Below are 11,279 nucleotides of genomic sequence, written 5' to 3'. Positions count from 1 at the left end.
AAGTACACCAGGACACTTGGCTACCTACATGAGAATGTCCATATCCATACAATCAAGAGGGTCAATTCTATTGGCACGATCAGTCAGTTCACACCAATGATTGTCTGTACAATGATTTTGCCTAGATTGGCTGGCTGTTGTTTTGATCCTGCTGATTTTGATGCTCTGATCAGTACAGAGCAAATGGCGCCAAATACCTCAAGAAGAACTCACTGAAAAGTGTCAGAAGCCCTGAGCCAGGGTTCTGATGTTACCACATCTTGTGGCATGATTTTAGACATCATCCCTAGGCCTAAATTCTGTCCTCTGCGATAAAATTGGTACAAACACGTTGTAAAATTAACATTCAAATTTTATAATACACATGGAAGCACACTATAAATTTTAAAGCTCTGCACGAATGATTAAATGTACACAGATCACAAAGCCAGAACCATAGTAGAAGAAAAATTTTTTCCTGGGAGAGAATACTGGAATGGAAGGAGCACAGTTGGTGAGTTGGCTGGATCAGGACGGCAAGCTCAATCCTTAAGCAAATAGATAGGTTTCCTTAAGCCCATTCCTGGAGCTGGCATCCTTCTTAGTTTGTTAAATCCTGAGTTTTATCAGGTGGTTCTGGGTCCAGCCTGAGGGAACAAATCCAGCCAGGCTAAGGCAACTGTGGCATCTCTACTGCTCTTTCCTAGTGACTTGTGTAGGTATGAATCATGTGACTCACAGTCAGTGAAACATAGGAGCAGTCTGCTGAGGCAGGTTTATCCTGCTCAATAAAAGAGATAGTAGCCAAAGAAGAAATCCCTTTTTGCTTCTCTTCCTGTCTTCCTGCTTTGGACATCATGTGTGAAGATGCAATAACAGGGGCCCCCCATCTTGAACCTGGAAGAGAGACGAATGTGGAGCATCACAAAATGGAGAGATGAAAGAAGACTGGGTCCTTGAGAACATGGCTAAACATTCAGAACTGCCCACCTCGAGGGTTTATTGTTCAGTGAGAAATATTCTGATCCTTAAAGCATAGCTACTCAGAGTATCAATCATAGCATGGTGTGATTCCATGAAGCATTTGTTACTGGTCCACATTGAGTGAAGCACAGAAATCATAATTGTTTATGAACTTTTCTAGCAATATGATGGGTAATATTATGGCTATTGATTCTAAAAATTTTTTTAAAATGAATGTAAATATTTTCTTTGTTTCATTTTCTATGAATTCATTTTATTATAGTTTATGAAAGTATCAATCTATGATATATTGGAAATTAGAGGAAAAATTAACTGGTATTTGTTGCAGATAGTTTAAGAAGCATTGCTTAAAGCCAATGTTTGGCAAACTGCAACCGAAGGGCCAAACCCAGCACAATGTCTGCTCTTATAAATAAAGTTTTATTAGAACATGGCCACATCTTTTGTTTACATATTATCTATGGATATGTTTATGCTACAATGCCAGAGTTAGGTTAGCTTTACAGAGACCTTACACCCACAGCCCCCAGTCCCGAGTCTAAAATGTGTACTATCTGGCCCTTTCCAAAAAAAATTTACAGAGTCTTGCTTTAACAAAAAGTCAGGAAAAAACAGATGCTGGAGAGGATGTGAAGAAATAGGAATGCTTTTACACTGTTGGTGAGAGTGTAAATTAGTTCAACCGTTGTGGAAGACAGTGTGGTGATTCCTCAAGGATCTAGAACTAGAAATACCATTTGAGCCAGCAATCTCATTACTGGGTGTATACCCCAAGGATTATAAATCATTCTACTATAAAGACACATGCACACGTATGTTTAGTGTGGCACTATTCACAATAGCAAAGACTTGGAAGCAACCCAAATGTCCATCAGCAATAGACTGGGTAAAGAAAATGTGGCACATATACACCATGGAATACTATGCAGCCATGAAAAAGGGATGAGTTCATGTCATTTGCAGGGACATGGATGAAGCTGGAAACCATCATTCTCAGCAAACTAACACAGGTACAGAAAACCAAACACCACATGTTCTCACTCATAAGTGGGAGTTGAATAATGAGAACACATGGACACAGGGAGGGGAACATCACACACCGGGGCCTGTTGGGGGGTGAGTGGCTAAGGGAGGGATAGCATTAGGAGAAATACCTAATGTAGGTGACGGGTTGATGAGTGCAGCAAACCACCATGGCACTTGTATACCTATGTAACAAACCAGCATGTTCTGCACATGTACCCAAAACTTAAAGTATAATTAAAAAAAAAAATTCTCAGCTATATATTCTCCTACTTGCAGTTGAAGTCATTATAACTTATATATAGGTAATTAACTTTTCCAGATATTAGTATGCTTATCTATAAACTAGAATAACAATTACACTGGTTTGTTGAGAGTATTGAATGAGATAATTCATATAAGGTTGTCAATAAAGCATGTGCCTTATAGTAAGCATATAACATATAAGAGATCTCTCCTTTCCTTTGCCTGCCACCACCCTTTAATTAAACAGCTACTGTGTCAAAGGCCAAGAGTTTCTATTTTCAAATCATGGGACATGGTAGCTCTTTGATATTCTATTATTTCTCTCCACTGTCAGTTGGGAAAACTTCATCTTCAGCTAGGAAGTTGGACCCAGTGGTTGAGAATAATGCATTGACAATAATCAATGACCAGATTTTAGGAATAAACCACAAGGCTTTTTAATATTGCCTGGCTCAAGGTTCTGAGGACCTGACATAACAAAAAAAGTTTCTAAGCAGAGAGGAAAATGGGTTGAGAGCTCCATTTTTACTTTTTGAAGTGTGATGGAGGATACTCCTTGTGTTGTCATGTGCTTTATTTTAAGACTGCATTCTTGAACTCTTATTGGTAACAGAAAACTAATGTGACTCTTTTTTTCTTTTTAGGAAAGCTAACAATGACTTCAGAAGTGTGTGTTTGTTATCAGATTTAGGGCACTTGTCACATTTTGGCCTGAAGGCAAGGCAAGGGAGGGTTTGCAAAAATATCCAATAAAAGTCTTCATTGCTCTTTCTCTTTTCTAATTAAAATGCAGTTCGTCTTACAGATTCCAGAGCATTTTGAATTTGTGGTTGCAAGCATGAGGTCATTTTTCTTTCCTATATGACCATAGAGAATTTTTAAAGTCTTTAGTGTTTGGTAACAACAGACAAATAACCGTGGAAACCTGAGAGCTGTGCTCAAGTTCTTTCCAGAGTTTTCCCATTATTCCTCAGCATGGGGTAAAAATGAGTCCACCTCGCTGGGCTAGTGCCAGGATCCCTGAACACCCTGCATGTGAAGCTAAAATGTAGGCTCCCCTCCATATACAGTGGCTAACCAGGCAACAAGGAGGTGAAGAGCAGGCCTCTAGTGTCTCTTGGACCTGAATCTGCACACTGGTTCTGTCAACCTTGGTGGTGATATAGAGCAAGTCAGTTATTCAGCTTCTCTGAATTTCATCTTCCTTATCTGTAAAAAGAGCAACCTCTTAGGCTGGTTGTAAAGATCAAATACAAAAATGAATGAAAAATGCTTAGCACAGTAGAAAACTGGAGTGAACAGATTTGGCCCTCCTTTTCTTTGTTTCATCTTTCTCTCAAACTCAGCCCAAAAAACTCAGGAGGAGTTGACACCAAGTTCAGGAGGAAGTCCCTGATTTGGCTAACTGATCATTATAATCAGATGCTAGTGATTGGTTCAAAAATTCAGACTTCTGTAAAATAGCCAATCAATGCATGTTATCATTCTAGGGGAGAGTATATGACCCATGTTGGTCCAGTAAGACTGGTTCAAAGAGACATTCCTTTCCCTCCCTTGCTGGATGTGAGCAAGGAAGCAATAACTTCAGCTATTGCTAGCAGTCATCTTGTGGTCATAATGCTACCTCCTCCTGCTGCCTCCCTCTACCAAGGTCTTTGCTGCAAAATCATCCTCCTCACCAAACCTATTCCACATCTGCATTATGGATGGTGAGGGAGAAGAAGCAGGCAGGCTATCCTCTTGAACACTGGACAAGCATTGAGTTTCTTATTAGGCTTGGCACAATACAGAGAAGCCCTTGCTTTAAGACAAAACAAACCAAACACCTTAAAAGATGTTCACAAATTACCCACCACAGTAGATAAATTATGAGATGTATTTAAATTCTTTCAAAAGTGCCTACCTAAAAGAAAAAATAGATAAAAACTAAAAGTGATTACTGAGAGAGTCCTATGACTACATGTTGCAACTATGTTTATCTGTGTATATACAGACAGTAGCAGGGCAGAGAAAGTAACTGCTAAAATGTGAGATGCCATTACCCAGAAAAGAGAAATCAGTACAGGAGGTGGACAATGTCTTAACTGGTATGCTGAACAGAGGGCACACCTGCATGTTCCTTTCCCACCAAGGAAGCAGCCCTGTTCTTCCCTAAGTCTACGCACTTGCTCTCATCGCTTCCTCTGGATCAGTAGCTCTCAAATTTTAGCATGCACAGAATCATCTGGAGGGCTTATTAAAACACAGATTGCTGGACCTCACTCCCAGAGTTTCTGGTGCAGTGGTCTGTGATGGGGCCAGAGAAGTAGATTCTCTAATAAGTTCCCAAGTGATACCAATGCGGTGGGTTCATTGCAGATTCAGGGTCTGAACCGGTTACGTTGTGCTTCTAGAAACTAATGCCCAGCCAGACTCTCCTCTATATTGAGAGTCTTTGTTTCAAGGGCTATAGAACTCCTGCTTCATTCGGGGTGGCCAAATGCCTACAGATTCAATGACTGAGTCTTTCTTTTCATTCCCCTAGTGCCTCAGTATCTGTCTGAGTAGAAGTCTCATAAGCCATTGCCTCTGGGACCCAGGTTTTGCTTGGCTTTCACAAGCCCTCCCCAGGATGTGAATTGAGGCTTTGAATCCCAGTTCCTGCTGCCAACAACTTGACTCTGCTGATGCCAGTGACAAGTCGGCAACTCTGTTTACAATGATAACATGGCATCAACAATCATAAGAGCTTGTCTATCTCATACTGGTTACAGGCCTCCTGTGGCTGCTGTCAGACTCCACTTGACCTCTAAGAATGGTCCCCACAATCCTATCCACCCTAGATGCTGTGACATCAGCCCTCCGTCTGCCTGGCTCTATGATGGGATTCATTCTGAGGCTACTCTCTCTGGATGGTCAGCTTATTCTCAAGGTTAACCTGGGCCAAATCCTGATCCAGATAAAGCATCACTGATATTTTTGTCCATCATAATGTTTGTCTGCAAGAAAAGTTACCTAGTTTATCAAATGTCTACTTCATTTCCAAAAAGTGAGGTTCACGTTCACTGCCATGGCAAAGGCTGGCCTTCCTTCGTTCAATGAATTAAGACTATATGCTTTGGGCTTACATTTACTATCTAGGAAATAATTCTGTTTCCCAAAATATGGGCCACGTGCCATCAGTGGTTTGTGAATTTTTTAATGTGGCACACTGACTTGACATCACTTACATTATATTGCACAGTGAGAACATTGCTTTCTTTTTAATTCTATTTGAAACCAGTTGGTGGAGTCAGAAAAGAAAAACGTCTCGGTTTGGGATTAGTATATCTTCCCCATTTTATCTTTTGTTAATCTCTCTTTTTATATAATAAAGAGGAGGCCATGGGCTGAGAACTCCAGTAGACTAACAGTGACTCTCAAGTATGTGATAACATTGTCTTCTTTACCATTCTATTTATTTGTATGGTTACCTTCCATTTATGGCAGGTAGTACTGACTTTCCATTTGTAGCAGTGATTTAAAGTTCCTTTTGTAAGTAAATATGTATAAGAAAGAAGATGATTTTGTTTAAAGAAGAGTATCATATCAACTAGGATATGGGTGTTAGGAAGGCGCAGCAAAAATCATTATGGTCAAAAAGACTGAAATTTGGAAAACGTTGATGAAAGAAATGCATTGTCCTTTGTGCCAACTCACCATGAGTAGAACAAACTCTGAATAGTGTTTATTTTTCTCTTTTGCCAGCAGTGAGAATAAACTGCAAGGAGTGATTATACATTCTATAAATATTTTCTGAGAGCTTAATCAACAAGTTACTCTCTATTGCACCTTTGAGAACAAAGTTTAGGTCCCCCAATACCTTCATCCTCAGCACAGACTCTGCCTGCCTCCTCACTCTCATCTGCCAATCTCTCCAAAGTGCCCCACAATCCCACCATAGTGGTCTTTCTCCAGTTCCTCAAATCTTAATACATCTCTTCCCTTCTGCCTCTAGGCCTTTGCACATACTGGCCCCTCTCTCTGGAATACCCTTCCTTCCTTCCACCTCTTCTTTTTTCACTTGACCAAGTCAGCTATTGGTCTAAATGTTGCTTTTTTTCAGAGACAACTTGCTTGACTTTCAGGCCAGTTGAGCATCTCCCCGATGGCATCTCATTCTTCTACTCTGAGGCACTCTTCACAATTGTAATCAAGTAACCATTTAGGTATTGATTTGTGTCATGTCTGTCCCCTGCTGGACTGTAAGCTTGTGAGAGTAGTGAGCTTGCCTTATGGTTGGTTCTCAATAAGTATTTTTGTAAATGACTGAATCATGACCTATGACAGCATATTACGTAGACACCAGGGCCCTAAAATAAAACTTAGGTAACTAAATGAAAAGAACAAAATGATTTTAACAATTAAGGATTGAAGTCAGGTACCTCTGACCACTAGTCATAACAAGTGGCCAAAATTATGTGTGCATTCAGTGAATCAAATCACCCAAGCACACAAACCTGGCCCTCTACATTTATTGCTTATAAAAACAAAAGATTGAGAACATTGGTTGAAGCCAGATGTTCTGCAGGCTGGATCTCATTGTCCTAACATGACAGATTCTCATAACTGGAAATGTGTGTATTTGAGATGCTGGAACATAAGATCCAACCCAGAAAATATTTTGAAATAATGTTTTTCAATTACTTAATCCTTGTTAGGCTATTGAAGAGAAGACTCTTATATACACTATTATAAAAACATTATGCCTGAGTCTCAAGCTCTGGAATATCCAATTACAATAGCTTTTTTCCACATTTGTATTCTCTCTCTTATTTAATTGCTCTTAACATTTGGAGCAGATTTATTGTATATGACAGCAAGCAACATGAGCCTGTGTAAGAGCCGGCCATGCCATTTCCTGCTCTCCACCCACCCACCGTCTCCCTAGTATCCCTCTTCCCTGCCTTCTAGCATCCTCATTAGCTCAGCCAAGTCTTGTTCCCTGCTTGGAGTGTGGGCTGTCAGAAAAGCACTCTAGTAACTGCCCACCAGCAGACTCCATCTCTCCCTCCGTAAACTGACCTGAGCTTTGACTGATATCAATTTTCACCCTATCCTAAATCAATCTATAATGTGAGGTAAACAAAATAATCTTCATTTCTAAGATGTCTCATCAAGAGTTAATAAGTAGGTAGTCGTTGAGTGTTTCCTGTCAGCATGTGTCTGTGTGTCGGTGTGTAACAGTATAGCTTGTGTGTATATGTGTGTGTGTGTGTGTGTGTGTGTGTGTGTGTGTGTCCTGCTCCATTTTGTCATGCAACAGGTACCTTCTAATTTTGGCTGAAACCATGTGGGATAAAGAAACTTGATAAATAAGTTGGATTTTCTAAGTCATCTGCAGCTCTTCTCCATACCCCATCTTGGACAGCCTGCCCAAGGTAAAGGAAGTGGAACTGAAGACATGACCCTATCAAAGACAAGTGGTGGGAACAAAGGGGCAGAGAGGTCTGGCCAAGATGGAGGCACACAGATTGTCAGGAGCCCAGTGCAGGTGCTCTGAAAGCATGACACAGGAGACCCAGAGCTCCAGAAATCCCTTCCCTCTTACCCATGTTGACTGGCCACATACTCAGAAGTTTTGTCCAAAATGCAAAATATTAATTGTGATTTCAGAATTGAAACTGAAGTCTTTTTGACTCCATTGTTGAGGCACTTAACCACTGTGATCCATGGAACATTTAGATATGTTCTATTCTCACTTAACAATACTGAATTTATGCAATGACTCTGAGGTTGGTCTGCTCCTCTACAATTGTGTGCAAACTGATTTTCTTAGAAACTTTTAAGTGTGCACAGCTGTTTTGAGAAGAAAATATTTTGATAGAGAAACTTCTGCTTCGTTTCATTTGGGGAAGAAAACAATGGAGCTATCAAATGCTGAATGGAAAAATTTGTATAAAAAGGCAAGAGCATCTAGAGTTGCCTCTTTTCAGGGAAGAAGGGACATTAAGAGAAGTGTGGGCAGGGAGCTTTCCACTGGAGGTTAATTGGCAGTCCCTTTGGAAGAAAGCCAGAAATGTCATCTTGTTTCCAGCCAGGGATATTGATTTCAATACTAATGGAGATTTGAACTGGACCTTCAACAGTTTACAGAAGTTCCTCTCTCTGGTCAAGAAGCCATGGGCTTCATGTTCAAGTGAGTTTGGGATGTGCTCTGTGGCTATGTAGCAAGCCCCTATACCTCTATCCTGTCATCACAGTGATTCTCAACATCTTTTCTCTCTCCTCTTCTGCACTGGGAAACATCGTCCTGTTAGAGAGAAGTGCATTTACAGCTGAAATTACCAAAGTGGCCCATTATGTTTATCAAGACAGAAAAAGAAAAAAGATTACAGTTTGTCCCAGCTGTCTGCAGAACAGCTCTCCTTCTATTGGAAGGGTACTGATCCATGTTGGTTTTTTTTTCCTCTCTCCCCTCTTAAAAATTAAGTGCATGCAGGAATACCCTTCAAGATGTGATTTCAGGGGAAAAAAATGATGATTAGCAGGACAAAAGGTCAGGGCATTCCAGAACATTGAGATTTCCACATAGCTGCATTTTGGGGTTGTGTTTCAAATCTCCTACCACGTGTGCTTCTATCTCACATGAAGGGTATCAGGGAGATCACTAATCCCAAGAGAAGGTTTTTCAGAGATGAATTTACACCAAACTGGAGTGGGGTTGAGGAAAGGAAGAAAGAGGCTGAATTCCACTGACAATGGCTAATTGTTGTGACTAATTCAGCTTTTGGAAGGTAGAACTCCATGGAGTGTGTGAGCTGCAACATGGTTCCTGTTTTAATTAGTGGCACCACAGGGAGAAGATGGGCTTATAATTGAGTAGTTTGCTGATCGGTCAACTTCAACCCATAATCAGACACGCTGAGAAGTGGACATTAACGGGGAGCTTTGACTAGCAGGAAGTCTGCCCCATTAGCATAGCTGGTGTCAAATCAGGTTGTTGTCTTTCTTCTTGATTCTTTCAGGAAGAGGATGGCAAACAAAATGTTTTCTAGACTAGTTCTCTCACTCTCTCTCCATCTACTACATCTCTGTTCCAGTTTTGCTTAGCCTATCTCTGCACAGGCACACTAACATGAATAGAATGATTGGCATTTCCATCTTGCAACTTTCCCTCCAAGATTTATTGTTGGATTCTCTCTTCTCATGCCAACACCACGACCATCCATCACAGTATACAATCCCCTTCCATAAATGCACCTTAATTTTTGTTTTGAAAAATTCTCTCCCTCCCACTCTGTGGAATCTCGATGAGACTCTTAGTTAAGGGTTATATTCTCCGTTTTCTCCTCCCACACATCCCCATCCCCACCAAGAAAGAATTGGAGTCGTGATCCAAATTAGGCCATCTGGACTTTTTTTCCCAAAAACTTTGACTCTCGAGAAAGATGTCAGAAAAGAAAAATAGTTGAAGCTAAAGTTTCTAGTGGGAAACTATGATCAGATTTTTTTTCTCTCTCTCTTGCTATCTAAACCCCTAAGCTATTGGTTTCCTCTCCATTTCTTATCCTAATTCTCAATACTTGACCATACCCACAAGCCCTTCACTCTCCTATGTCACCTTCCTCTCTGCTTAAATTAGGCAGAATGAGTTTCTGTTGCTTGTAGTTGAGTAACCCCAAATGAGAAGGTATCCGGGAGAAAGCACCTCAATGTACAGCTTAATGTTCATTCTCCACCATCCTTTTCCTACTCCCGGTAAGAAAATGTGCAGAAGGCAAGAAAATCATACTTGTGGTGTATGAGAAGATAAATTTAAAAATGAGAAGAAATGCCGCACTCTTACTAATGAATCTGGGTTTAGGGCCTGGCGTGAGTGTCTTCATCCCAGATGTTCTCATGGGATCTGCTTGGAAGCTGCATTCCCATGGGATTCTCACTGTTCTTTGGACCATGACAGTGATTTGTCTGGCTTCTCTTCCTGCTCAGTTTTCTGTCAGGGGCCCCCGCACTCATTCATGCCCTCAACTATTTGGGGTTGACTGCTGATACATGCATAAATGTCATACAGCATCTATGCATGTCATGCAGCATTTCCCTGCAGGAGGGGGAAATGCCACCTACCCTCCGTTTCCCGGCTGTATTTTGGGCATGGTTTGTATTAGCTAGCTTAAAGGCAGGGAGTATTGGCATGCCTTCAGATGGGTGTGTTGTACATGTGTGTATACTCTGTTGCCAAGCTACCCAGGAGCAACACATCCTCAGAGCTTCACTTGCCTGCCCAGCATATTCTCGGGGCCTCTGCCGGGGGGAAAACACCCACCTGGGCTTGGGGAGACCCTAATGTGTTTAAAATGTTGTTTCACCTAGATGTACAAATCAGGCATTGGTCCTCAATGCTAGTCTGGGGTCAAGAAGTTCCAGCAGCCAAAAAAAGCCACAATTCCCACCTTGTAGATTACAGACTGTGTGTTCAGAATTTTAAGGAGTGAGCTGAGGCTTATCCCGAGCTGAGTAGGATTTATACCTTTCACCGGTTATGAACACAGAAGTGAGAAAAATATACATACACGAGGGCGTTCACCATAGTTAGATGGGGGTCAGAGGAAGGAAAGCCAGCTTGGCCAATGCGCTTTCATAACCACATCAATTCAGGGCTTTCACGGGTTTGATTTTCTTTCAGCCCAATCCACTAAGGAGTTGCTCACGAGTTCTGTGGATTTTCTGCACAATTGCAGATTATTGCCATGGCAACAACAGAACCATGTGACAACTTTGCTACCTCAGAGACCAGGAACAGCCACTTACGGGCAACACACATCATCTCGTAAATGGGACTCTGTGCCGTTGGCCTCACATGGTCTTAAGGCTAATCACTGCTTTTCCACAGATGGAATTTTCCCCCACCCACTCCATTTTCATGATCTTTTAAAACAATTTGGATTTGCTCTAAAGCACTTCCATATTTGCCTCTGTTTATTTGGTCATAATAAAGGTATTATTTTGGTGGATTGGAGAAAGGAAAAAGAGGGGTAAATTTTGATGGGTGAAGGCAGATGGGATGCAATGGGCAGAGAAGAAACAAT

The 11,279-nt window shown here is 41.2% G+C and overlaps 1 long non-coding RNA gene across 1 annotated transcript; it reads right to left on the bottom strand.

The window, feature by feature from the left end:
* Window positions 1-334: 334 nt before the first annotated feature.
* On the bottom strand, window positions 335-10,927 carry LOC124901122 (uncharacterized). The gene is made up of 2 exons (XR_007059020.1): window positions 10,764-10,927; window positions 335-876 (listed from the first exon to the last, which is right to left on the bottom strand). It is a non-coding gene; the product is annotated as an uncharacterized LOC124901122 (long non-coding RNA).
* Window positions 10,928-11,279: the final 352 nt, after the last annotated feature.

This window comes from Homo sapiens, chromosome 5 (genome assembly GCF_000001405.40).
Source record: "Homo sapiens chromosome 5, GRCh38.p14 Primary Assembly".
Taxonomy (NCBI): Eukaryota; Metazoa; Chordata; class Mammalia; order Primates; family Hominidae; genus Homo; species Homo sapiens.
Note: the sequence above shows the minus strand (reverse complement) of the source record. Positions and strands in the feature narration are given on the sequence as shown.